The sequence below is a fragment of the Homo sapiens genome, chromosome 10 (assembly GCF_000001405.40).
Source record: "Homo sapiens chromosome 10, GRCh38.p14 Primary Assembly".
Classification (NCBI taxonomy): domain Eukaryota; kingdom Metazoa; phylum Chordata; class Mammalia; order Primates; family Hominidae; genus Homo; species Homo sapiens.
This window is the reverse complement of record NC_000010.11, coordinates 42,822,240-42,849,958: the sequence shown is the minus strand read 5'-3', so window position 1 is coordinate 42,849,958 and position 27,719 is coordinate 42,822,240. Positions and strand designations below refer to the sequence as shown.

At 45.0% G+C, this 27,719-nt stretch overlaps 1 protein-coding gene and 1 pseudogene across 5 annotated transcripts in view, besides 2 other annotated features; one reads left to right on the top strand and one right to left on the bottom strand.

Moving 5' to 3' along the window:
• Window positions 12,400-13,350: an enhancer, noted in NCBI's record as "H3K27ac-H3K4me1 hESC enhancer chr10:43332057-43333007 (GRCh37/hg19 assembly coordinates)". NCBI's record gives its function as "activates a minimal SCP1, AML or CMV promoter by ChIP-STARR-seq in naive H9 embryonic stem cells {active_cell/tissue: H9 hESC(naive)}" and the evidence as "EXISTENCE:reporter gene assay evidence [ECO:0000049][PMID:30033119]".
• BMS1 (BMS1 ribosome biogenesis factor) overlaps window positions 15,022-27,719 on the bottom strand; it is a 52,143-nt gene continuing 39,445 nt past the window's right edge. For 4 of the 5 annotated variants that reach the window (XM_005271846.4, XM_047426040.1, XM_011540402.3 and 1 more), the window contains 4 exons: window positions 26,694-26,841; window positions 26,175-26,350; window positions 19,537-19,698; window positions 15,022-19,093 (listed from right to left, as the gene is read on the bottom strand). In XM_005271846.4, the coding sequence (XP_005271903.1) occupies window positions 18,863-19,093; window positions 19,537-19,698; window positions 26,175-26,350; window positions 26,694-26,841 (717 nt within the window). In that variant the 3' untranslated portion in view covers window positions 15,022-18,862. Of the gene's footprint in view, window positions 19,094-19,536; window positions 19,699-26,174; window positions 26,351-26,693; window positions 26,842-27,719 lie in introns of those variants that run through there. The other variant, XM_047426041.1, reaches the window with a different exon arrangement.
• Window positions 17,409-17,512, top strand: RNU6-885P (RNA, U6 small nuclear 885, pseudogene; annotated as a pseudogene).
• Window positions 21,921-22,802: an enhancer, noted in NCBI's record as "H3K4me1 hESC enhancer chr10:43322605-43323486 (GRCh37/hg19 assembly coordinates)". NCBI's record gives its function as "activates a minimal SCP1, AML or CMV promoter by ChIP-STARR-seq in primed H9 embryonic stem cells {active_cell/tissue: H9 hESC(primed)}" and the evidence as "EXISTENCE:reporter gene assay evidence [ECO:0000049][PMID:30033119]".

Here is a 27,719-nt window from a genome sequence, read left to right as displayed (position 1 = left end):
AGCCTCCCCCAGCCTTCTCTCCTCTCTACCCTTTCTAGCCTCTAATACCCACAATTCTACTCTCTACTTTCATGAGTTCAAAATGTTTCTAGCTCCCACATATGAATGAGAACATCTTTCCGTGTCTGACTTATTTTGCTTAACATAAGGTCCTCCAGGCTCATCCACATTGCCTAAATGACAGCATGTCATTTTTATGGTTAAATAATATTCCATTGTGTATATTTTATATATATGTATACACACACACACACACACACACACACACACTCACACACTTTCTTTATTCATTCGTTATAGACATTTAGGTTAATTCCACAACAGCTGTGATTGTTAATTTTATGTGTCAACTTGACTGGGCTACAGGGTGCCCAGATATTTGGCTAAACATTTTCTGGGTTTGTCTGTGGGGTGTTTCTCCTTGAGATGAGTATTTGGATTGGTGAACTGAGTAAAGTAGATTGTTCTGTCCAATGTGGGCAGGATAATTCAACCAAGTGAAGACCTGAATACAACAAAAAGCCTGAGCAAGAGGGGACTCCTCTTGTCTGACTGCTTGAGAGGGGACATTGGTCTTTTCCTGTCTTTGGACTTAAACTGAAACATAGGCTATTCTTGGATCTTGAGCCTGCTGACTTTTGGACTGGAACTCAACCATCAGTTCTCCTGGTTCTCAAGCCTTCCAACACAGACTAGAACTACATCATTGGTTCTCCCAAGTCTCCAGGCTGCCAACTGGACTTCTCAGCCTCCATAATTGTGTGAGCCCATTATATATCATATTGGTTCTGTTTTTCTCAAAAACTCTGACTAATACAGATTTTGGTACAGATAATGGTTCTAGAGGAACAGAATTTTGAGAATGAGTGTTCTGGGTTTGTTCTGGGGTTTCTGGAATTGGTTCTCTAAACAGATTTCATTTAAAGTTGTTAATAACTCTATTTCCAATAATAGAGCACTGATAGTTCATGGCATAATCTGGCAATAGAGATACACAAATATCACCATTGGAGACTCCTATCAACCACTTTATAAGAAGCTAGGATCTGGGTGACTGTGTATAGGGCATTTCAAACATTTTCAGCAAACTAATGAATACTAGATGGTTGCTTCTATTGTCACTAGACAAAGGGGAAATAAAAGAATGAGCTCAGGGATTCCAATTCCCAACTCAAGTATCACATAAATGACCTGAAAACTCCTTTGTGTGCCCTCAAGTAAACCCTTAGCCCAGGTAGCCCCTCAGCTGAGATTGCTGAAAATCAAACTCAGAATCTCATCCTGTGGCTAGCTGAATTATAATGCAAGTTGAACTATTTGGAGTTTTGATGAAGCATATTCCTCATTTGGGTGTGTTGCTCCAGCTCATGTAACAAGTGACCTGAAAGGCTGCTGGTGTTGAGAACAAGAGAAGGCCGTGCAGCAGGTCCAGGTGTCCGTGCATGCTACTCTGCCACAGGGACCATGTGACCCAGCAGATCCAATATTGCTCGAAGCATCAGTGGCAGATAAGTTTGGAGCCTTTGGCAGGCGCCTATAGGTGAGTCGCAGCACAGGCCCTTAAGATTTTGGTGCACAGCCCTGCCATCCTCAGCAGATAACTATTTTCCTTTTTATTTATTTATTTATTTATTTTATTGATCATTCTTGGGTGTTTCTCACAGAGGGGGATATGGCAGGGTCATAGGACAATAGTGGAGGGAAGGTCAGCAGATAAACAAGTGAACAAAGGTCTCTGGTTTTCCTAGGCAGAGGACCCTGCGGCCTTCCGCAGTGTTTGTGTCCCTGGGTATTTGAGATTAGGGAGTGGTGATGACTCTTAATGAGCATGCTGCCTTCAAGCATCTGTTTAACAAAGCACATCTTGCACCGCCCTTAATCCATTTAACCCTGAGTGGACACAGCACATGTTTCAGAGAGCACAGGGTTGGGGGTAAGGTCACAGATCAACAGGATAAGAATTTTTCTTAGTACAGAACAAAATGAAAAGACTCCCATGTCTACCTCTTTCTACACAGACACGGCAACCATCCGATTTCTCAATGTTTTCCCCACCTTTCCCCCCTTTCTATTCCACAAAACCGCCATTGTCATCATGGCCCGTTCTCAAAGAGCTGTTGGGTACACCTCCCAGACGGGGTGGTGGCCGGGCAGAGGGGCTCCTCACTTCCCAGTAGGGGTGGCCGGGCAGAGGCGCCCCTCACCTCCCGGGCGGGGCGGCTGGCCGGGCGGGGGGCTGACCCCCCCACCTCCCTCCCGGTCGGGGCGGCTGGCTGGGCAGAGGGGCTCCTCACTTCCCAGTAGGGGTGGCCGGGCAGAGGCGCCCCTCACCTCCCGGACGGGGTGGCTGGCTGGGCGGGGGGCTGATCCCCCCACCTCCCTCCCGGACGGGGTGGCTGCCGGGCGGGGGGCTGACCCCCCCACCTCCCTCCCGGACAGGGCGGCCGGCCTGGCAGGGGCTGACCCCCACCTCCCTCCCGGACGGGGTGGCTGCCGGGCGGAGACGCTCCTCACTTCCCAGATGGGGTGGCTGCCGGGCGGAGGGGCTCCTCACTTCTCAGATGGGGCGGTTGCCAGGCGGAGGGTCTCCTCACTTCTCAGACTGGGCGGCTGGGCAGAGATGCTCCTCACCTCCCAGACGGGGTCGCGGTGGGGTAGAGGCGCTCCTCACATCCCAGATGGGGCGGCGGGGCAGAGGCGCTCCCCACATCTCAGACGATGGGCGGCCGGGCAGAGACGCTCCTCACTTTCCAGACTGGGCAGCCGGGCAGAGGGGCTCCTCACGTCCCAGATGATGGGCGGCCAGGCAGAGACGCTCCTCACTTCCCAGACGGGGTGGCGGCTGGGCAGAGGCTGCAATCTCGGCACTTTGGGAGGCCAAGGCAGGCGGCTGGGTGGTGGAGGTTGTAGCGAGCCGAGATCACGCCACTGCACTCCAGCCCGGGCACCATTGAGCACTGAGTGAGCCAGACTCCGTCTGCAATCCCGGCACCTCGGGAGGCTGAGGCTGGCGGATCACTCGCGGTTAGGAGCTGGAGACCAGCCCGGCCAACACAGCGAAACCCTGTCTCCACCAAAAAAATAGGAAAACCAGTCAGGCTTGGCGGCGCTCGCCTGCAATCGCAGGCACTCGGCAGGCTGAGGCAGGAGAATCAGGCAGGGAGGTTGCAGTGAACCGAGATGGCAGCAGTACAGTCCAGCTTCTGCTCAGCATCAGAGGGAGAGTGTGGAAAGAGGGAGAGGGAGAGGGAGACCGTGGGGAGACGGAGACGGAGAGGGAAGGGAGAGGGAGAGGGAGAGGGAGAGGGAGAACTATTTTCCTTTTGAGAAACATCTGTTCATCTGCCACTAGGCTGAACGCTTAACTGGGGATCACCAAGTTCCCATGTGACCTGAGCTGACCAACATGAACTGAGTTTTATCTGACCCATGAAGCATGAGGTGGGCATGCATGGCAGCGCTCCATCATCAGAGGAAAGGGGTCTGTGTGTGAACAGGCCCCAGCAGGCCCTGAAGGCATAAGTCGGCTGCATAAGTGGCCCAAATGCCCATGGTCCCCACCCCTAGTACACTGCCTTCTCTCTCCCAGCCTGCACCAATGGCCTCATGGGGAGTTCTCTAGGATCAGATGACAGAGGGAGAGAAGGCTCAGGCCTTCTCTTGGCCCTTACAGATGGTTCTGTGTGATACCCAGGTACCACCTGAAAGCAGACAGCTGCAGCATGACAGCCCCCTTCTAGGATATCCCTAAAGGACAAAGGTGAAGAGTAACCCTCCCCATGGGCAGAGCTTGGGGCAGTGTACCTGATTGTGCAGTTTGCTTGGAAGGAGAAATGGCCAGACGTGAGATTATATATACCAATTCATGGGTTGTGGCCAATAATTTGGCTGGCTGGTTAGGGACTTGCAGGGAACATGATAGGTAGATGTGTGACAGACAAGCCTGGGGAAGAGGTATGTGGATAGACCTCACTGAAGGGGCAGAAAATGTGATGATATGTGTGCCTATGTGAATGCTCACTGAAGGGTGACCTCAGCAGAGCAGGACGTTAATAACAGGTAAATAAGATGACCCATTCTGTAGATGTCAGTCTCTTTCCCCAGCCACCCCTGTCATCACCCCAGGGTCTCAGAAACAAAGTGGCCATGGTGGCAGGGATGAGGTTATGCATGGGCTCAGGATTGTGGACTCACACTCACCAAGGCCGAACTCTCTACAGCCACCAATATGTCCAGTCTACCAGCAGCAGAGACCAACACTGAGTCCCCAGTATGACACCATCTCCCAGAGTGATCAGCCAGCCACTTAGTGACAGGTTGATTACCTACGACCTTTTCCACCATGGAACGGGCAGTATTTGTTCTAAGTGGAATACACACTTTGCATATGGATTTGCCCTCCCTGAGTACAGTGCTTCTGCTGAAACTACCACCTGTGGGTTTACGGAACGCCTTCTCCACTGTCATGGTATCCACACAGCATTTCTTCTGGTTAAGGAACTCACATCACAGCAAAAGAAATGCCGCGATGGCCCAATGTTCATGGAATTCACTGGCCTTCCAGGCTCCCACTGTCCTGAGGCAGCTGGCTTGACAGATGGTGGAATAATGGCCTTTGGAGGACTCAGTGACAGTGCAGCTCGGTGGCAGTGCCTTTCAAGGCTGGGGCAAGGCTCTCAGAAGGCTGGATATGCTCGGAATCAGTGTCCAATACATGGTGCTATTCCTCCCATAGCCAAGACTCCTAGCATAGCACTACTCACCATCACCCCTAGTGACCCACTAGCAAAAGTTTTGCTCCTTGTCCCCACCACCTTATGCTCTGCTGGCCTAGAGATCTTAGTTCCAGAGGGAGGAATGCTGCCCCCAAGAGACACAGGGATGATCCATTGCGCTGGAAGTTTAGGCTGCCACCTGATGGCGCCAAGCTCTTCATGCCTCTGGATCAACAGGTAAAGAAGGAGTTAACTACGCTGGTGGGGGTGGCTGGTCCAGACCACCAAGGAGAAACTGCCCTGCTGCTTCACAATGGACTGGGGAAGAGCATGTCTGGGGTATAGGAGGGCCCTCGTGGCATGCGCTGTGATTAAGATCAATAGAAAAGCACAACAGCCCAATCTAGGCAGGATTAATAATTGTCCAGAACCTTTGGGAATGAAGGTTCCCCACCAGGTTAAAAACCACAACCAGCAGAGGCTTCCTGAAGGCAAAGGGAATACAGACTGGGGAGTGGAAGAAGGTAGTTATAGGACCACGTGACCAGCTACAGAAACCAGAATTGCAATTGTCATGAATGTTTCCTCCGTATTTGCTGAGAGAGAGAGAGAGTGTTTAAAGTTTTGGAAGAAAACATAGGAAGAAGTCTTCATTACTTGAGGTTAGGGAAATTGTTCTTAGACATGATGCCAAATGCATGTAAAAGCAAAAATCCATCAATTAGACTTGATCAAAATAAAAAATATAACTTTGCAAAAGAGACTATTAAAAGATGCTGAAAAGACAGCTATAGGCTGGGAGAGAATATCTACAAACCACATATCCAACAAAGAAAGTAGTCCGACATATATGAAGAACTCTCAAAATCAACAGTTAGAAAACCATCCAAACAAAAGTGGGTAAAAGACTTGGACCCTCACCGAAGAGGACGCTGTATGTGGAAGACAGCAAGCCTATGAGAGACCATCAACACTAGTCATTAGGGAAATGCAAATCAAAACCATAGTGAGGTGCCACTGGAAAGCACTCTGACAGTTGTGTTAAACCACATGGCCCAGCAGTCCCATAACGATTTTCCCTGGAGTAAGGAAAAATTGTGTTCACATGAAAACCTCTGCACAAATGTTTACAGCAACTCTATCCATAATCGCCTAAATCTGGACACAACCGCACGTCCTCCCATGGATGAAGAGGTAACTACCTGTGTCTCCCTGTGCAGGCAAACACCATTCCACAATTGAAAGGAACATGCCACTGACACACAGAGCATTGGGGTGGATCTGAAAAACATGATGCTTAGCGAAAGCAGCCAGTTACAAAGATCCCATGCTGTGTGTCTCCACTCACACAACCTTCCCGAGACAACGGTGTGACAGGGATGGAAGGCGCATCAGCAGTCAGCAGGGTTGGGTGGGGAGGGCTGGACTCCAGCAAGAGGGGTGCAGCTTCTTGGCATCCTGACTGTGGAACCTTGTACGTGTGAAAATTCTCAGACCTAAACACCTCTTTTAAATGGGACCAGATGGGGAAATAAAACTATCATTTTTTGGTCATCTGTTTCGTATCAGTCACCACAGATACAATTGTGACCCTTGAACAACACAAGTCTGAACTACATGGATCCACCTACATACAGATTTTTTCTTAAAAAATTTTTTTTTAAATTAAATCTTCTTAAACAGACACGGGGTTGGCCAGGTGTGATGGCTCATGCCTGTAATCCCAGCACTTTGGGAGGCCGAGATGGGCAGATCACAAGGTCAGGAGATTGAGAACAACTTGGCCAACATGGTGAAACCTCGTCTCTACTAAAAATACAAAAAAAAAAAAAAAAAAAAAAGCTGGGAGTGGTGGCACGTGCCTGTGGTCCCAGCTACTCAGAAGTCTGAGGCAGGAGAATCACTTGAACCCGGGAGGTGGAGGTTGCAGTGAGCCGAGATCATGCCACTGCACTCCAGTCTGAGCAACAAGAGTGAAACTCTGTCTCAAAAAAAAAAAAAAAAAAAAAGAGACACGGGGTCTCGCTATGTTGCTCAGGCTGGTCTCGAACTCCAGGACTCAAGTAACCCTCCCAACCTTGGCCTCCCAAATTGCTGGGATCACAGACATGAACCACCACACCTGGCCCAGTTTTTTTTTTCAGTAAATATATTGGAAAAATGTATTGGAAAATTTCACATCAGCCATGCCAGCAGACGTGAAACCTTGCTCTTTTGGCCAAATACCTTTTTACCTGGTCTTGGAAATGCAGCTTTTGGACAGATGTAGTAGCTCATGCTTGTAATCCCAGCACTTTGGGAGGCTGAGGCAGGAGGATCACTTGAGCCTAGGAGATGGAGGTTGCAGTAAGCATTGCAACCATTTGAAGAAACTTGCAGATGAACCTTGTAGCCTAGAAATATTGAAAAAGTTAAGAAAAAGGTGTGTCATGAATGCATAAAATACTAGCATATTTTTATCATTTACCACCATAAAACATACATAAATCAACTATAAACAGTTAAAATTTATCAAAAGTTATGCACACAAACACAGTACATGGTGCCATTCAGTCAAGAGAAATGTAAACAAATGTAAAGATGCAGTATTAAGTCATAATTGCATAAATTAATGGGAGCCCACTGTACTACTGTAGTAATTCTGTCGCCCCTCCTGCTACTATTGCAGTGAGCTCAGGTGTCGAGTGTCCACTTAAAATGCCATGTGACACTAGCCATCTCCGTGTGAGCACTTGTCTCTCCTGTAGATTGTGTATCACAGTGAAAAGTAATCTCTCGTGGTTCTCATGTATTTTTCATGTTTAGTGCAATACCATAAATCTGAAGAAGACATCGAGACGCGTACGAAGCGCCACTAGTGATTCTGGAAGTGCTGCCAAAAAGCAGAGAAAAGTCTTGACAGTACAAGAAAAAGGTGGATTGATTGATATGTACTGTAGACTGAGGTCTGCAGCTGCGGTTGCCCACCATTTCAAGATAAATTAATCCAGTGTAAGAACCATTGTAAAAAAAGAAAAGGAAATTCACAGTGTCATCACTGCAGCCATGCTAGCAGACATGAAACTTTGCTCTTTTTGCCAAATACCTTTTTGTCTAGTCTTGAAAATGTAGCTTTTGGCTGAATGTAGTGGCTCATGCCTTTAATCCCAGCACTTTGGGAGACCGAGGCAGGAGAATCACTTGAGCCCAGGAGGTGGAGGCTGAAGTAAGCCTAAGATCACACAACTGCACTCCAGCCTGGAAGCGAGGCTCTGTAGGGGGGTGGGGGGGAAAGAAGAAGAAGAAAGAAGGAAGGAAGGAAGGACAGAGAAATAGAGAAAATGCAGCTTTTATGTGGGTGCAGGATATCTATAAGAAAAGCATATCTATAGATTCTAATATGATTCAAGAAAAACTGATATCATTATACAACAACTTAAAACGAAAGACTGGTGGAGGATGGTGACTTAAAATTATGAGATCTACAAATTTGGAGAGGCTAAAGTACAGTGGCACAATCATGACTAACTGCAGCCTCAACCTCCCAGGCTCAAGCAATCCCCCACCTCAGCCTCCCAAGTAGCTGGAACTACAGGTGTGTGCCACCATGCCTGGCTAATTTTCAAACTTGTTTTTGTAGAGACAGGGGTCCCACTATCTTGCCCAGCTGGTCTCGAACTCTTGAGCTCAAGCAATCCTCCCACCTCGACCTTCTAAAGTGCTGAGATTACAGGCATGAGCCACTGTGCCAGGCCAAGAGCCTTATTTTCTTTCTTTCTTTCTTTCTTTCTTTCTTTCTTTCTTTCTTTCTTTCTTTCTTTCTTTCTTTCTTTCTTTCTCTTTCTTTCTTTCTTCTTTCTTTCTTTCTTTCTCTCTTTTTTTTTTTTTTGTCTGACAGAGTCTAGCTCTATCATCCAGGCTGGAGTGCAGTGGTGCAATCTCAGTTCACTGCAACCTCTGCCTCGCAGGTTCAAGCAATTCTCCTGCCTCAGCCACCCGTTTAGCTGGGAAGACAGGCACATGCCACTACACCTGGCTAATTTTTGTATTTTTTTCTAGGTAGAGATGGGGTTTCACCATGTTGGCCAGGCTGGGCTCGAACTCCTGGTCTCAAGTGATCCACCCAACTCAGCCTCCCAAAGTGCTGGGATTACAGGCATGAGCCACTGGGCCAGCCCAAAAGCGTTATTTCTTAGAAAGGTTGCAGCCTGCAGCCTGGCTGTCTTGACAGGCTGGGAAGTCTAGCCTCCAGCAAAGACCAAAAGTAGGCACTTCCAGGGACAGAAAGGTGAGACAGGAAGTTATGCTGAAAGGGTTGGCTAAATGTACATATTCAACAGGTTATAGAAGGCTCTATGAATATTCATGAAGGGGGTGAGACACACCTATTTCACACATTACAGACGTCCCATGTTCATTTCAGAGTGGAGGCAACATTTAAATGCATTAAAATTGGGCCCTAAATGTCAAAAGGTGAAGCAGAAGGTTCGAAGGCTCTCAGTGCCCAGCCTTCCTACTGGAGAAAACTGTGTCCAGATTTACAATAGGGCCAATCAAGGAAATCATGAAAGAGAGTGTGCCTGTGGCAAAAAAGGTGGGGAATGTAGGCTTTCAGGATATGGATCTTGGAGAAATTCAAGAGTGAATAGACATCACACCAGAGGAATTAACAGAAGACCACTTGATGGAGATGAGTGCTTTCGAATCAGTGCCAGATGATGAAGAAGTGGATGTAGACGCAGTACCAGAAAATAAGTTGACATTCGACAATCTGGCAGAGGGGTTCCGATTATTCAAGACTGCTTGTGACTTCTTTTACCATATGGACCTTTCTATGGTACGGGCACCAAAACTAAAGCAAATGGTGGAAGGAGGATTGGTATCACAAAGAAACATATTTAGAGAAATGAAAAAGCAAAAATGTCAGACAGAAATAACGATGAATTTCTCAGCATGTGTGCGTCTCCTGCCTTCCTTCCCATCTCCCCCACCTTTTCTGCCTCTGCCATTCCTGAGATGGCAGGACCAACCTCTTCTCTTCTTCAGCCTACTCAATGTGAAGATGATATGGATGAAAACCTTTATGATGATCCACTTCCATTTAGTGATAGTGAATACATTCTCTTCCTTATGATTTTATTAGTACTTTTTCTTTTCTGTAGCTTACTTCATTGTAAGAATACAGTATACAATACAAATCACATACAAAATATGTGTTGAGTGTTTATGTTATTGGTAAGGCTTCTGGCCAACAGTAGGCTATTAACAAAAGTTGTGGTGAGTTGAAAGTTATATATGGATTTTTTTTTTTTTTTTGAGACGGAGTCTTACTCTGTCCCTCAGGCTGGAGTGCAGTGGTGAGATCTCAGCTCACTGCAACCTCCATCTCCTGGGTACAAGCAATTCTTCTGCCTCAGCCTCCTGAGTAGCTGGGATTACAGGTGCGCACCACCACGCCTGACTAATTTTTGTATTTTTAGTAGAGACGGGGTTTCACCATGTTGATCAGGCTGGTCTCAAACTCCCGAACTCATGATCTGCCCGCCTCAGCCTCCCAAAGTGCTGGGATTACAGGCGTGAGCCACCACACCCGGCCTATATGTGGATTTTTGACTGTGTGGGAAGGTCAGCACCCCATCCCCTTCATGGGAACTGTAGTCTCATTAAATCCTCACATGCTGCAAGATTGGTTTATTATCCCCATCTAAGAAACTTAAAACCCAAGAGATTTTGTACATTGCCCAGAGTCACATCACTGGTGAGTGGCAGAAACTGGAGCCCCCACCCAGACCATCCCTGACCTGAGCACAGTTTGCCAAGTGTGCCTGCAGCAGTCAGAGACACTGGGAGATGGTGACTGCCCTCCATATTGAGGACACTTATATATCTGGCTTCTGTGAAACAGCCTTGCTTAGCTCCACCGCTCAGTTTTGGTCAAATGAACCACAGCAGGATCATGTGGACTTCCTGAGCACTGGTTTGCATGTATGAGTTGGACTTGGTGATCTCTTTGAGGTATGTGGAGATACTAAGCTAGTGGAAAAAGTGCTGAACAGACTGGGACCAGTGGCTCACGCCTGTAATCCCAGCCCTTTGGGAGGCCAAGGCAGGAGGATCTCTTGAGGCCAGCCTGGGCAACAAAATGAGACCTTGTCTCTACAAAAAAAAATGAAAATTTTTTAAAATGCTGAACAAAAACCCACCTGTGTTCAACCTTGGCTCCTCCCTGGATAATGCACCCACTCCCAAGTGTAGGTGTTGGTAACTCTTGGGAGTACATCTTAAGCCCAGGTAGCACATCAACCGGAGTTCCAGACAGTTCCCCAGCTGCCGCCTCAGATGTCTCTGCCTGGCTGTCCCACAGGTGCCCATCACTCCACCTGGCATCCCAGCCAGACACCTGGGGGCCCTGGGGTACTCCCTGAAAACCCCTTGTTCCTCACAACCCCCAGACCTACTACCCCTCCAATGTTACCTCTCAGAGCTCTAGCACCCACCACTTCTCCCTCTCTGTGCCTCCTTCCCCTAAACTTCCTGCAAACTATCTCCACCCAGTAGCAAAGGGGCTTTTTGAAAAATGGAAATCTAACCACGCTGTCCCAGCTAAATGTTCTCCCAGGGCTTCCTGGTGTCTCGGGATGAAGATAGCCTCTTAAGGCGGCCTCATCCCCTGCCTCTCTATTTTCCTCTCCAGCTCCTAGGACTCTCTGCTGCTGTCCTGGCTCCAGCTACGCTGGCTTGCAGGCGTCATGCTGCCCTGTGTCACAGGCCTTTCCACATAACATTCCTGTGCTTGACACACTCTTCTGCTTCCCCAACTCCCAGCCTTTGCCAAGTTAACCAACTTCTAGTCATGGCTCAACCGTCACTTGCTTCCCTAAGGAAGCCTTCTCCAACTTCCTACACCATGTCTAGAGCTGTGCCGTCCTCTACGGGACCACTGCCACATGGGGCCATTGAGCCCTTGAAATGTGTAACTGGTGCCGAGAACTGGAAATTTTTAATTTTAATTAATTTGAATTTCAAACAAGTGACTAGGTTCAGTTACATTTGAAACAAGGGGATATACATCTATTTTTTCAACTGTGAATACTGTGAAATCTAAATATAGATTATTTCCCACAAAATTTAGATCTGAATTGAGAGGTGCTATAAGAGTACAACACACTGGGCTGGGCACGGTGGCTCATGCCTGTGGTCCCAGCACTTTGGGAGGTCGAGGTGGGCGGATCACCTGAGGTCAGGGGTTTGAGACCAGCCTGGCCAACATCACGAAACCCTGTCTCTACTAAAAACACAAAAAAATTAGCCCGGCGTGGTCGCGGGCGCCTGTAATCCCAGCTACTCCAGAGGCTGAGGCAGGAAAATTGCTTGAACCTGGGAGGCTGAGGTTTCAGTGAGCTGAGATCGTGCCATTGCACTCCAGCCCGGACAACAAGAGCGAAACTCTGTCTCAAAAAACAAAACAAAACAAAACAAAACGCCACACCAAATTTCAAAGACTTAGCACAAAACAGGAATGTCAAGTAGTTCAATAATCATTTTTATGCTGATTCCATGTTGTGATGGTATTTTAGGTACACTGGCTTTATTTATTAATGGACAGGGTCTCGCTCTGTCGCCCAGGCTGGAGACCTACTGAACTCAGGTCATCCTCCTGCCTCAGCCTCCCGAGTTGCTGGGACCACAGGTGCGCGCCACCACTCTCGGCTTTTTTTTTTTTTTTTTTGTAGAGATAGGGTCTTGTCATGTTGCCCAGGGTGCTCTGGAACTCCTGGGCTCAATCGGATCTTCCTGCCTCGGACTCCCAGGTAGCTGGGATTACAGGTGTGAGCCACTGTGCCCAGCCAATATACTGGCTTTAAATGATAAAAATGTTCTGAACATTCACCTTCCGGTGTTGGCGCGCGGGGCGTGGCGCGGAGTGACCAGCCCTGCCCGGGCTCCTTTCAGCAGCAGGTGAAGTAGCTGCAGCGCGTTCTTTAACTTTCCCAGAACGACCGACAGTTTGTAAAGCGCGCGATCTCGTACATGCCCCGGCCCGCCCAGCAGCCGGGGGTGCAGGGCCACGTCCAGCCCGGGACGCTGCAGGGGCTTCGCTCCGGGGTCCCACCTCCTGTGCGTCCCCGGGCGCGGCGCGACAGTCCCGGGTCCTGCACGCCGTGGGGAGCCGCGCTGGGGGCGCCTCGGAAGGACGCGGTTCTCCAGCCCTTTCCGTGCCTAAACAGGACCGAGGCTGAGTTTCTTCGTGTGGGTGGAAACTAAAGCCGGGTCGGGGACGGGGCGCGGGCCATGGGTGCGGTTCCAGCGGCGGGCGCGGGTCCGAGGGAGGTGGGGGGGCCTCAGGCACAGCAGGGGGTAGAGGGCGCAGAGCTGGGAGAGCGGATCCCAGGGGCCCTCACAGCACTAGGTGATGGAGGTTTGCAGCAGCGCCACGAAGCGTTCCACAGGGCACACATGCAGCAAAACAGCACGCTGTGAGCAGTAAAGATATGCAAGTTTGTCAATTACACCTTCATAAAGCTGGGGGAAACAGAAGAAAAGGAACCATAACAACAAAAAATAAAGCCGAGAAACATTTAGGAGACTTATTAGTTTGTTTTAAAATAACAGAAGCAAGCCCATTACATGGTAACATAAGTCGCATATTTTCTTGAGAAATGTTTTCCAAAGCAAAAAAAAAAAAAAAAAATTGTGGGAAAGTGGCGGTGCTTCAGTTGTGCGAGCTGTCACGTCCTAACACAGCCGCATCCTCAGCCCGCTGCCCCCCCGCAAGACGCTCCCACTTCCAGTGAAAAGAGGTCAATAACATCTCCTTATTGTCATGAAACATTCTTGACCTCACCCAGCCGCCGACAGGGGTCGTGAAAATCCCAGGGGTCCCTGGACAGCACAACTGAGTGCCACTGGTTTATTGGAGAAAAGTTTGGAGGAGTACTGGGGAGTTCGGAGAGGGTCCAGGGAAGGCCGCACCGACCAGTGGTCTCAGGGCCAGCCTCAGAAGGAGCAGCGAGGAGGTGGAGGCCGGGAGGGGGCGGAGGAGCTGCCGCATTCCAGGCAGAGGGAACTGCATGTGTTGAGGACCCCAGGCAAGTGCACCGACGAATGAAAGGCCACTGTGGCCAGAGCTGGAGGCAGCAGAAGAGAGGCCCTAGAGGAGGGCAGGGGCCAGAGCAGCAGCAAGGACAAGGGCTGCGGCCTAGAAGCAAAGGGAAGCCATGGAAGGAGCCTCGGAAAGTGACATCAAATTTGCATGTTTAAAAGCCACCCTCAAGAAGTGCCGTCAATCATTAGAGACAGGTATCAGCCAAATAATCGCATAAATACTTTTAAAAAACTAAACAATAATTTGGTTATTTCTTGGCTATGACACTAAAAGCACAGGCAACAAAAGAAAAAATAAATTGGACTTCAAAATTAAAAAACCTTTGCCCATCAAAGGACACTATCAGAGTGAAAAGACATCCCAAAGAATGAGAGAAAATATTTGTGAATGGTTTATCTGATAACGGTTGAATATCCAGAATATAAAAAGAACTCCTACAATTCAACAACAAAAAAATCTGATTCAAAGGACTTGAATAGACATTTCTCCAAAGAAGGTCTATAGATAGCCAATAAGCACACAGAAAGATGCTCAACATCACTAGTCATTCCCAACATACAGATCACAACGAGATGCAACTTCACACTAGGATGCCTGTTTTTTAAGAAACCAATCAACCAACCAACAAAAAAACAGAGTAATGAGGGTGGTCTAGGCTGTGGAGAAATTGAAACCCTTGTACATATTGCTAGAAGAAATGTAAGGAATCCACAGCAACTGTGGATACAGTGTGGCAGTTCCTCACACAATTAAACACAGAATGACATTTGACCCAGCAATTCCACTTTTACACACAGAACTGAAAGCAGAGACTCACACAGATATTTACACACCAATGTTCAAGCAACATTATTCCCAACAGCCCACACATCCATCAGCAGATGAATGGATAAGCAACGTGTGGTAAAGACATTCACTGGGAATATTATTCAGCCTTAAAAGGGAAGGAAATTCTGACACATGCTGCAACTGGACACACCTTGAAGACAGTATGCTAAGTGAAATAAACAAGACACAAAAAGACAAATATTGTATGATTCCATTTGCAAAAGTATCTAGAGTAGTCAGAGACAGAAAACAAAATGGTGGTTGCAGGGGCTGGGGGAAGGAGGGAATGAGAAGATGTAGTTTAGTGGGTACAAAGTTTCAGTTTAGGATGATGGAAAGGCTCTGAAGATGGCTGCAACAGCACTGTGAAGGTAATGCCACTGACTCATACAATTAAAAATTGATAAAATAAGTTTTATTATGCATATTTTATCACAAAACAAAAATTGGAAAAAACCGAAACACAGAAAAAAACAAGCCCACCCCTCCCCTCAAAAAAATTTACAGGACAGGCCACCTGGTCTAAATGTATGACACATCCTTTTCTCTCTACATGCCAGTTGGCAACCTTATTTTAGAGTGTCCAAACTTTGCTTAAGAAAAGACTTAAAAGATTCCTCCAAATACCCATCCAACCAAAGTTTATCTGATTTTCGATAAGGTACCATCCCCAAATATGAAATGCTAAGTCTCATAATAAAACACCTTTGGCATTTAAATGTCCAACATCTCAACCTTTTGTCTTGTTAAAGGATTATAAAAATGTACAATACTTTAAAACCATGAAATAAACTAGGTAAAACTAAGGAGACACAAGTAAAATACAATGTCCTTGCTGAAGACTCTGAATAATGGCTTTAAGAAATACCTGAGTCTGGCAAAATACTAGATACTAGAAGTCGGTACCAAGGGCAATTAAATCGATGCTCTTTTTCCCATCAGCGAGGTAAGCTCTGGAGCCTCCAGAGAGCTGAATCAGACCCGGTGGCTTTCCTCTTTGCTCAAACATTTATTTCTGAAATGGCGGGCATGTCACCAAATGATAATACTTAAAGCAAGTTCACAGGTTTTGTTAAAAAAAGAAAACAATCTAGTACATCCACAAATAGGAAACCAAACACACCTGAACACATCTATGATTAAATAAGAATATTTAATGGCATGGAATGATATGTACACTGTAGGTTCAATATGTTTTCAAAACATACCTAGCACCTATGGCTGCCTGTGCCTAGTAAATAGAAAAGGTATAACAGAATAATTTTTACAATTTACAAAGTTTAATACAATTGAGAAAGGTTTCTATAAACATTGTTAAAATATTTCAGAGGGCAAATGCTTACTTTGCATAGCAATGCTTCAGTTACCTGGAATGCCCTCCCTTCTTTCTTCCAAGCAATTTTATGCAGCACGAAGCTCAGTGGCTCTACTCCAAGTGCCAACAAGGTGAACAACCCAGTTCCTGCTCTCATGGAACTCACATTCTGGTGGAATTTGTTTTTGCAACATACTTGCTGACAATATCAAATTAATAAGCCATTAGTATTGAAAAGTAATTTACACACTCTCCAGTCTGGTCCTTATTTTGATATATGTCTTCCTATGAGATGGATGCAAACTCACAGCAAAAACTATGTGTATACATACAGCCACATGCCGCATGATGTTCAGTCAAGGATGGACCACGTATATGGCAGTGGTTCCACAATACTGTATTTTTGCTACGCCTTTTCTATGTTTCGATACACAAATGTTTACCACTGTGTTACAACTGCCTACAGTAGTCAGTACAGTCACATGCTGCCCAGGTTTGTAGCCTAGGAGCAACAGGCCATACCATAGAGCCCAGGTGCACAGTAGGCTGTACCATCTAGGTTTGTGTGTCACTCTATGATGTTTACACAATGACAAAATTGCCTAATGATACATTTCTCAGAATATATCCCCATCCTTAACTGATGTGTGACTGTATTTTACTAACCTGGCCAGGTGGAACCTTCACCAATAAAAATTCTACATGAAAAATGCTATTTATTGTTTCTTTCAGACATTAGAGATTCCTTAACTTTAGTTTAAATAATCTTAATATGCAAACTTTTTATTTCCCTTGTTCTCCAAATATGATAAACCAAGATTTTTAATATTAACAGGTATGAGTTCTGCCTACATACATTGTCTTTGGAAAAGGCAATTATCTGCAACTGTAATTAAACATTCTTTTATTTCCCCCATTGCTAAAGGATTCCACTCTTCTGGCTAAAATATAAAACTATACAATTATAAATACTTATTTGCAATGCTTCTCTTTGAACAAATTTGCTTGTTGTATAAGACACTTGCTGATCACCTTGTAAGCTACTTAAAACATGGTATGACTTGAGTGCCTTGTATATTTTAGTTGAATTATAGTTTTGCATTTTAAAATATATCAATTATGCTATATAACAAATTAGTTTTAAATTATAATTGTTATGGGCTTACTATGTGTCAGTCCCCAGGCCTATCAGCATAATGGATGATGAAATTCATAATAGCTCTTGAGGAACAGAGGAAAATGTACACCCAGAGTTGCCCAGAGAGGTCTGGGAGTGTTCCAATTGTCACTTCCCAGGTGGACCTAGCCCTGACAGGATCCTCACATCCTCTTCCCTTCTTATGGAGATACAAAGCTGAGCACCTGCCTACAGACTTTAGGCTTTTAGAGAGCCTCTCAGACTAGGCCAACTGCTCATAATCCTGCCAACCCTCTTTGGCCCCTATGATGTTGTAAAGGCAATGTGGCACTCATATCAGCAGCACACATACTATAACTGGCACAACACAGAGGTCAGCATGGGCCCCATGCACAGATGACACACAAATTCATGAAGTGTTCTACATACATATATGTATAATTTTTTTTTTTTGAAACAGGGTCTTGCCCTGTCGCCCAGGCTGGAGTGCAGTGGTGCTATCATGGCTCACTGCAGCCTCAACCTCCCAAGCTCAAGTGATCCTCCTACCTCAGCCTCCCAAGCAGCTGGAACTACAGGTGTGCACCCACCACACCTGGCGAATTTTTTATTTTTTGTAGCGATGAGGTTTTGCCATGTTGCCCAAGTTGGTCTCAAATTCCTGGGCTCAAGTGATCCTCCTGCCTTAGCATCCCAAAGTGCTGGGATTACAGGCGTGAGTCACTGTGCCCAGCTGCGTTCCATATTTCTACACACCCATGCATACATGGAGGAGTATACGTTGGGGAAAGTAAAGCTGGGGAAATGTGAATAAAATCAGCGGGCTGTATTGATGTCAACATCCTGATTGTTATATGTGTGAAACATTACCACTGAGAGAAATTGGGCAAAATATACAACTATATGTGAATCTATGATTACATCGTATAGGAATAGATTCCCCATAACTATATCAACATACAATCATAAAATACATACATCGCCTATGTAATAGTATGATTACTTCAACATAATGTTTAATTTAAAAAAAGGCAATGTAGCTAGGCAGGTATAACGCATGAGCATAATACGGGAAGCCTATCTCACTGATACATACGATTTCCTTGGTCTCTGCACCTGAGACAATAATCTCCTAAGTCTAAAGCTTTAAAAAAGTACTTACTGTTACCTTGTCACTATACTAATGTGCAGAACATATGAAATAAGATAGAAAATGTCCACAAGGGCCAGTGATCAAAGGAGCCCATAGATCCTGGGTGCACAGTAGGCTGTACCATCTAGGTTTGTGTGTCACTCAAACAAAAAACAAAACAAAAACACTACACACTATTCTCTAAAATCTTCCATGGGAGCTCAGAGTTCAAGTGAATATTTCTTTCTCTTCTGGAAGACTCCTCATGAAGGTGGTAGTATAAATAATTATCCACAAAGAATTGTCAGGCATTCATCCCTAATGAAAACTACTAAGCCAAAAGTAACAAAAAAATATTTTAATGATATTTCTGTAGGACAAAATAATTAAACTGAGGCAGGCAGAGGAAAGTAAGAGAATCCACATAACCACAGCTTACATCACTTTAAATCTCGACAGCCCCAAGTCATGAGAATGAACCCAGTCCCAGCAGCCCAGGCTTCTCTGTTCCTCCTCCTGCAGGCACAGTTTGAGTAGAGACATCTCTTGAGCTCTTTCCCACTGACTTGTCATTCACAGGCATTCAAACTGTGATGTTTGAAACTGTCTACCTCCGCAGATCCAGGGACAGTCCCTCCAGTCCAAAGGCTCACTGCAATTGGCCCTCAGCCCCCTTCAAACTGGACTTCTGGTTTCTTCTTTCCTTCTGCCCCTGAATTCTGAAGAGCTTCTTCCTGAGGTCCTTCTGCCGCTTCAGCTTCTCCTCCTCCTCCTTCTGCTTGGCTCTGAAGTGCTCTTTATTGTGCAGGTGCCGCTGCTCCTTGGCCTTCTTCATCTTCTGACTATGCACCGTACTCAGAGCATCCAGCAGTGCAAGGATCTGACAAGGACAAAAGCCGGTGAGTATCAGAATGCTCTCAGACACCACACACTCGCATCCTAAGCACTAAGACTAGAGGCAACCCACGATCCAAATGAATATTAACTGCATGAAAATGCATCCTGTGCTAGGAAGTCATTGTTGGCATGGAGACACAGGTGTGATCCCATTTTACCTTTACCACCTCTGTTCATCATTCTGTGGACACTGTGTGCAGCTAACCGAGACAGAAGGGTTCCCCAGCCATGTACCTGTTATCCCCCATGAAAAGCACAGGGCAGAGCAGGACCAGGCAAAGAAAGGGAAATGGACTCTGGCTCTTCCTCTGACTTTAGTTCCAGTGCCCTGAATAACTGAGACTACAGTAGAAACAGGAAGTGTGCTATTGAGAGTGTTCTTTTCCTATCTAAACGCAGCGTGCAGTACAGCATGGGCAACAGTACCTTTCTTTCATGAGGCTCGCGTATGACGGCCGGTCTCCGCCTGTCCTTTGGCACCTTGCCTGCCTTTGCTTGGGTCTTGGGCTTGTTCTTAAATGGCAGGGCCTTCTGCAAGGCTTTTGGAATGTGCAGTGAATTAAAATGTTTCTTTTGCCTCAGGATTGGCTGAAAAGAAAAACAAAGACTGTGACATATTCAAATTATGATCAATGTGCATTTAAAACTTCTGCATAAAATCTTCTCAATGGGTTGACTTTTCCACAAGATTAGTAACACCAGAGTCTGCCGGCCCTGAGAAATCAGGACTCAATCATCTGCCAAATATGAACTGCCTCAGTGGACACCCACAATTCTCAGTAAACAGAGGAACAGACAGCTTACACTTACAACTCTCCCCCCAAAACCCACTGTGCCCATTTCTATGGTATGGAACTATGGGGTCTCAACAGAACAGATGAATAGATCCCAGTTTCTTTTCATGGAAATTTCAGGCCTTGTCTTTGGGCCACTGAGGTGCTTATTTCCCAGACTAACAAAAATAATCTAGCTTTTTGTCTTGACTATCAACCACTCTGGATGTTTTTTTTGTTTTGTTTTGTTTTTTTGAGATGGAGTCTTGCCTTGACGCCCAGGCTAGAGAGCAGTGCCGTGATCTCGGCTCATGCAACCTCCACCTCCTGGGTTCAAGCAATTCTCCTGTCTCAGCCTCCCAAGTATCTGGGACTACAGGCACACACCACCACGCCCGGCTAATTTTTGTATTTTCAGTAGAGATGGGGTTTCACCATGTTGGTCATGCTGGTCTTGAAATCTTGAACTCCTGACCTCAGGTGATCCACCTGCCTTGGCCTCCCAAAGTGCTAGGATTACAGGCATGAGCCACCACAACTGGCCCACTCTGGATTTAAGGACAGTTCTTCCTTCAATCAGCAGCCAAAGAGTCCTGATTCCTGATTCTAATTAAGAAGTTTAACTTGGTATTCTATTTCTGATGGAAGGATGGCTAAAAGAAGGGAGACTCAAACAACAGATGAAGGCAAAATACTCTGCACTGAATTTTCAAGGTAATCTTAAATTCTATATTTAATTGAGATGACCCAAATTCTTTTTTTTTTGAGATGGAGTCTCGCTCTGTCGCCCAGGCTAGAGTGCAGTGGCATGATCTCGGCTCACTGCAACCTCTGCCCCTGGGTTCACGCCATTCTCTTGCCTCAGCCTCCCGAGTAGCTGGGACTACAGGCGCCCGCCACCACGCCTGGCTAATTTTTTGTATTTTTAGTGGAGACGGAGGATGACCCAAATTCTTAACTGCCTCATAAATACTGTTAATAAATTGAAAGTTTTGCCCTAGGCTTTTGTTAAAGTCAACTATATAGAACAAGTTTCTCCTATCTTGAAATGTATTATTAAAGACATCATCCCCAATAATATTCCATATTCTTTGTTTAGGAACCCCGATTGTTTTTGAATTCAAGAATTCAGAGAAATCTACTTGTTACAAAAGAGTAGAATGGATAATGGGCACCACATCCTGAAGTGTATTTTAATAAAAATTCATGTAAGACGGTTCAAAATTTCATTAACTACTTTATATAAAAAGAAATGCCTGGGAGACTTCTGTTTCTAGCAGAGTGGCAGACTGATGCCTTGAACAACCCTCTTATTACAAAACTGAACACTCCACATGAAAACAAATCTTTTCAAATGCATTGTTAAGCTGTGAAGAGAATAACAACAGTTCTAAGAAACCAAAATCTAAATGAAAACACAAGTCCAGGCAGGCATTGAAAACCTAAAATAAAAAAAAAAAAACTGAAGAGGCCAATTGTCAGCAAGCACGTGGAACAGCAGGAACTCTTTAAGCTGCTGCTGGTGGTGGAGGCCAAGCCGCTGTGCTCCCAGAACACGACACAGAAGCCTCCACACTGAAGCAGAGCACAGGTGCCCTGGAGTCTCCACCCTACCCAGGGATCCTCCAGCAGAAGTGTGTGTGCCCCTCCGTACCTGCAAGTCCCATATCCAGACCTTAGTGTTAAGGGCCGTGGGATAACGGCCAAAAATAGGAAATCATTTTACCCATCAATGGATAAATGGTGACACAGTCATATACTGGAACTCAACAATGACAATAAATCAATGTCTGCCATAGACAAGAACATGGATGTGTTCTGTAATACTCAACCAAAGAAGCCAGGCTAAATAGAATGTGCTGTATTTTATAAAAGTCAAAACCAGGCAGAACAAATCTACGTCAGGAACTGGCAAAGTAGCTATTTTGTGGGTTGGGGAGGCAGTGCCTGGGAGAGGCCACAGGGCGAGGCTACTGCTTGGTCCAGGGCGTGGCAGCTGGTGTGCTACAGTTCATCTAGCTGCACACTTATGATTTGGGCACTCTTCTGTATGTACATTAACATTTCAATAAAAAGCTTATTAAAACATTAAAACTTTCAGAAAAATCCACATTGCTTTAATAGAAATTAGCACATTAATGTTTTAAAAATACATGTATATGGTGGGGAAAAAAATAGTTCAAAAGAGTACCCAGTGAAAAGTTTAAGAGGGAGTGATGCCAGCAAGGGGCCGATCAATAGCCCCTTGCGCTCATCCCCTGACAAAGACAGCCAAAGCAGCAAACAACTATATTTTGATGAAAGTCACTAAAGGAGAGCCCCAGAGTGCATCAAGGAGTAGCAGAAATCTAGTAGAGCACAGAAAACTAGGATGGTCACATAAAGGAGAGAAGGAAATATCTGCCCCCCACCACCCATCCCCCAGAGGGATCAGCCTGAAGCAGAGGGGATGTCTCCCTGTGGGGATAAGGAAGCAAGAGGGGCCCAGCAGCCCCAGCACTCCCCTCAGAGAAGGAACTGACGTTGTGCCCCACCCCCATGGACCAGCTGCTGCTGCAACGTGCCCTCCTGGACCTGGAATCACTTCGGGAGCATGTCCCACCCAGGGTGAGCAGCCACCACACCCTTCTTCCATCCTCAGGCTTTGTTGCTCTATATCACCCCCACCTAGTGGCCGGTGGGCCACTGTTACACTGAGCTGCTGTTACACTGTCTCAGGCCATTTAGTGTGGCTGTAACAGAATACCTGAGACTCGGTAACTTATTTTATAAAAAAGGTTTATTTGGCTCACCCTGCTTGTGTCTGAAAAGTCTGAGATCAGGCAGCACATCTGGCGAGGGTCTTGTGCTGCTTCACCTCATGGGGAAAGTGGAAGGGGAAACAGGTGTATGCAAGGGGCTCACATGGCAAGAGAGGAAACACGAGAGTCTAGGAAGCTGAACTCACTCTGGTAACAATCCACTCCTGGTAACTAATCCAGTCCCATGAAAAGGCATTAATCTATTCATAAAGGATCTGCCCTGTGACCCAAATACCTCCCACTAGGCCCCACCTCCCACACCACCACATTTGGAATCAAATTTCAACATGAGTGCTGGTGGGAACAAACGATGTCCACATCACAGCATGCACCCCACCCTGCGGGGCCACGCTGCCGTGCCCCTCCCCTCCCAGCTGCCATTGCGCCCTGCCCCTTGGAGCCTGAGTTGACTTGGTGCCCTGCTTTCCAGGGAATCAGTGCCTTGGCCAGTCTGAGCAGTCACACTCCCCACTGCACAAGAGCTGAAGCACTGTCCTGCTTCACAGGGAATCAGTGTCTTGGCTGAGCTGAGCAGCCACACCTGCCAGGGATGAGCCAACATGGCACCCCCACGTCCCAGGAAAATGGCATTGGTTGAACTGGGGTACCTTGCCCTTCAGGACAAACAACTGTAGAACCCTGCTTCCTTGGAACTGGACTAGCCCTGGAGAATCTGAGTTGCCCAGGCACCTGCCTCCCCAGGGAGAGAAGTAGTTGCTGCACTGGTCCCTGCCCCCGAGGGCCCAAGCCACAGTAGTGCTCCATCATTCTGGGGTCCTTGCTGATGCTGCGCCTGGCCTCGTAGAGACTGAGATGCTGCTGTGTCCCACCACTGTAGGGTCCAGAGTCACTATTATGTCACTCCCATGTCCAGAGTCACTCCCATCCCCTGGGAGTTTACTTCTTAAACTCTTCGCAAAAATAGAGCAAGAGGAAATAATTCCAAACACATTTTACCAGGCCAGTATCACCTTAATACCTAAGCCAAACCAAAACACACACACACACACACACACACACACACACACACACACACAACAAACAAAAACTACAGGTCAACTTCTCCAATAAATTAAGCACTGATGCAAACATCCTAAAAAAATTTTAGCAAATAGAATTCAACAACACATCAAAAACTTTATACATCGTGTTTAAGTGGGATTTATCCCTGGCATGCAAGGCTGGTTTAACATATGTAAATCAATCAATGTGATATATCACATTAACAAAATGAAAGATAAAACGACATGTTCACCTCAATTGATGCAGAAAAAGCATTTAACAAAGTTTAGCAACCTTTCTTGATAAAACCTCTTAACAGTTTATGTATAGAAGGAAAGTTCCTCAACGTAATAAAGCCCATTTATGAAAAACCCACAGTCTACATAATAGTTAGTGGGGAACAACTAAAAGCTTTTCCACTAAGATTGAATACAAGATAGGGATGGCCAGCTTCATCACTTTTATTCAATAGAGTACTTGCAAGAGCAATCAGATGAGAAAAAAAAGGCAACTAAATTAAAGAAGTAAAATTATCTCTATTTGCAGATGACAAGATCCTTTACATAAAAAACTCCAAAGATTCCACAAAAAAGTGTGAGAACTACTAAATCAATTCAGTTAAGCTGCAAGGTATAAACTCAATATATAAAAATCAGTTGCATTTCTGTATGCAAATAACCTAGGTGACAAATCAAGAAAATAATCTAATTTACAATAGCAGCAAAGAAAAACAAAAACTTAGGAATAAACTTAACCAAGAAGGTGAGAGATGTGTACACTTGAAAACCATAAAACATTGATGAAAGAAATTTAGACATGAACAAATGGAAAGACATCCTATGTTTATGGATCAGAAGAATTAATATTGTTAAAATGTTCACGCTACCCAAAGCAAATATACAGATTTAACACAATCCTCATCAAAGTTCTGTTGGCATTCTTCACAGAACAGAATAAAACAATCCTGGCCAGGCGCAGTGGCTCATGCCTGTAATTCCAGCACTTTGAGAGACCACAGCGGGCAGATCACAAGGTCAGGAGTTGGAGACCAGCCCAGCAAACATAGTGAAACCCTGTCTCTACTAAAACCACAAAAATTGGCTGGGCATAGTGGCACGTGCCTGTAGTCCCAGCTACTTGGGAGGCTGAGGCAGGAGAATTGCTTGAATCCAGGAGGCAGAGGTTTCAGTGAGCCGAGATTATGCCACTGCACTACAGCTTGGGCGACAGAGTGAGACTTTGCCTCAAAAAAAAAGAAAATAAAAGAAAAAACAATCCTGAAACTCATATGGAACCACAAAAAACCCCAAACAGCCAAGAGATTACTGTGAAAGAAAAAGTTGGAGGCATCGCACCTCTTGATTTAAAATTGTATTACAAAGCTATAGTAATCAAAACAGTATGGTGCTGGCATAAAAACAAAAAAATAGACCAATGGAACAGAACAGAGACCTTTGAAATAAATCCAAACATATACTGTCAACTAATTTTTGATAAGGGCAAACAAGACAACACAATGGTAAAAAAGACAGTCTCTTCAATAATAGTGCTGGGAAAACTGGATTTTCACATGCAAAAGAATAAAATTGGACCCTGATCATACACCATACACAAAAATCAACTCAAAATAGATACAAGACCCAAGACCCAAATAAGACCTGAAACCATAAAACTCCTAGAAGAAAACATAGGGAGAAAGCCTCTTGACGTTGGCCTTAGCAATAATTTTTTGGATATCGCACCACAAGCCAGGCTACAAATGTAAACATAAACAAGGAGGACTGCATCAAACTAAAAAGCTCCTGCACAGCAAAGGAACAACCAACAAAATGAAAAGGGAACCTATAGACTGGGAGAAATATTTGCAAACCACATATCTGATAAAGTGTTAATATCCAAAAATCAGTAAAGAACTCTTACAACTTAATAGCAGAAAAACAACCCAGTTGAAAAATGGGCCAAATAGGAAATGACCAATAGGAAATGGGGAGATGTATATTAAAACAATACAAAGTAGCAGACATGTAGGATGAACAAGTTAGAGATCTAGTGTATATCATGAGGGCTATAGTTAATAAAAATGTATTGTCTTTGGGATTTTTGTTAAGTAAGTAGATTTTAGCTGTTCCTGTTACACACAAAAAAATCTAACTGTGTGAAATGGTAGCTATGTTAATTTGCTTCACGATAGTAACCAGTTTACTATCTATATGTATCCTTTAAGATCATGTGGTCAACCTCAAATATATAAAATAAAATTTATTTTAAAAAAGAAAAGTTTGTCTTCAATCCAGAAAGAACCACTATTATCATTTTTTGGTGTTCCATTCCAAAATATTCCACAAATATACAACTGTTCAATCAAATTTAACGTTAGACTTTATACTTGAACATTCAAAGCATGTAAGAAATTATAGAAAAGTGTCTGTGTGACTCCCTGTCTGTAGAGCACAGGCTTCATCTCCACTAACACACACGCGACCAGTACCTTATACAGAGAGTCCTTGTTCGCCTTTAGTCTGACGCCATGGGCGAGCCTGAGTTGGCCCGTGGTCCGCATTCCTGACCAGGTGTCTTTCTCACCCACTGGTTTCAACAAAGATGTTACTGGGTTATAGAACGCTGGGATGGAAACAGGATACCAAGTTCGCATGAAGACAATATCTGAAAAGAGAGGTAATTTACTTTAACATTTTCAAAAGAAGATTCATATCCATATTGCGAAGAAACAAAGAATAAAACCTTCACTCCAAACTTCTCTACCTGGCTGCAAAGTATTTGAAGGAAAAGCTCGCTAAGGAAACTATTCTCATAGATCACAGAACTGTTACTGGGTGTGGCCAGGGGACTGCAGACACAAAGCGAATGGGCACACCCATAAGACTGGGAGATCTAAGGCTGGAGCTGCTCAACTCTCTAGAGACCTGACTCCAGCCTCTCGTCACACTGGCTAGAAGTCAAGCATGAATGGTAACACCCTGCCCTGAACACTACTCAAGACACTCACCGCTCATCAGCAGCTTATCCTCAAAGCTGGCCCTGAAAGCTCCTTCTGGAGCTCGGAGTGCTTTCTTGATCTGCCCCCTTATCCCACTGACTGTTCGAATCACAGCACCTTCAAATTTGGCCACTTCCAAGGCAGAATTAAACATTCCCTACAGGTATAGCAAGATAAAAACACACACACACAAAATCATATACTTTATGCTTTACTTCTTACTTCAAACATACATCCTTGATTAAAGAACAAAAACAACTCACTGAAGGGTGATAAAATAAACAAAATGTATTCGCCCCTGAAAGTGGAATTACTATCTCAAAAAGAATACAAGTCTTTCATTTTCCCCAAAATAATCATGTCAGTTCATGGGCATGCTCATCACCGCTGTCTGTGTGGAAGAGAAGATCGAAGAGGGATTTACTGGACTGAACTGGCCTAGGCAGCCTTTCCTGGCATCTCTCAGACTGGACTGCAGCCCAGATGCTTTTACTCAGGTGCATGCACTTAGAACATGAAAACAGTAAGATAAACGCTGGTGGTATTATTACCTTATATTGCAAGAACATTTTATGACTTTCTAACTCTGTGTTTTCAATAGAAACATCCCCACTAATGAAATTCTCAATAAATGCTGCTCAAACCAACCTCCCCAAATACTGAAAAACAGTATATCCGTTTCTCTGTAACCTTGCCAAGTTGTCTGCAAATGCTTTGTCGATTTTTCTACTGAATGGTTAGACAAACTTGTGATTTTTTTCCCTTTCTTAACACAAATAAAAAAAGTAGGAAACAAAACCCAGTGGATAAAATGACATATTTTCAATATGAGTTCAATATGAGTTCAATATGTGGCAGTCTCACATGGAAGTTATGAATAACAGCCTCAATTCCTAAATAGCTGTTTTACCACTGCTTTTTAGAGCATATTTAAGTAACACAGAATATAAAGGAGCAAACAAAATATGAAGTTTATAAAAGATTTCAAACACTTTTATAAAAATATGAGGCCCATATTTTAAAGGTATTTCATTC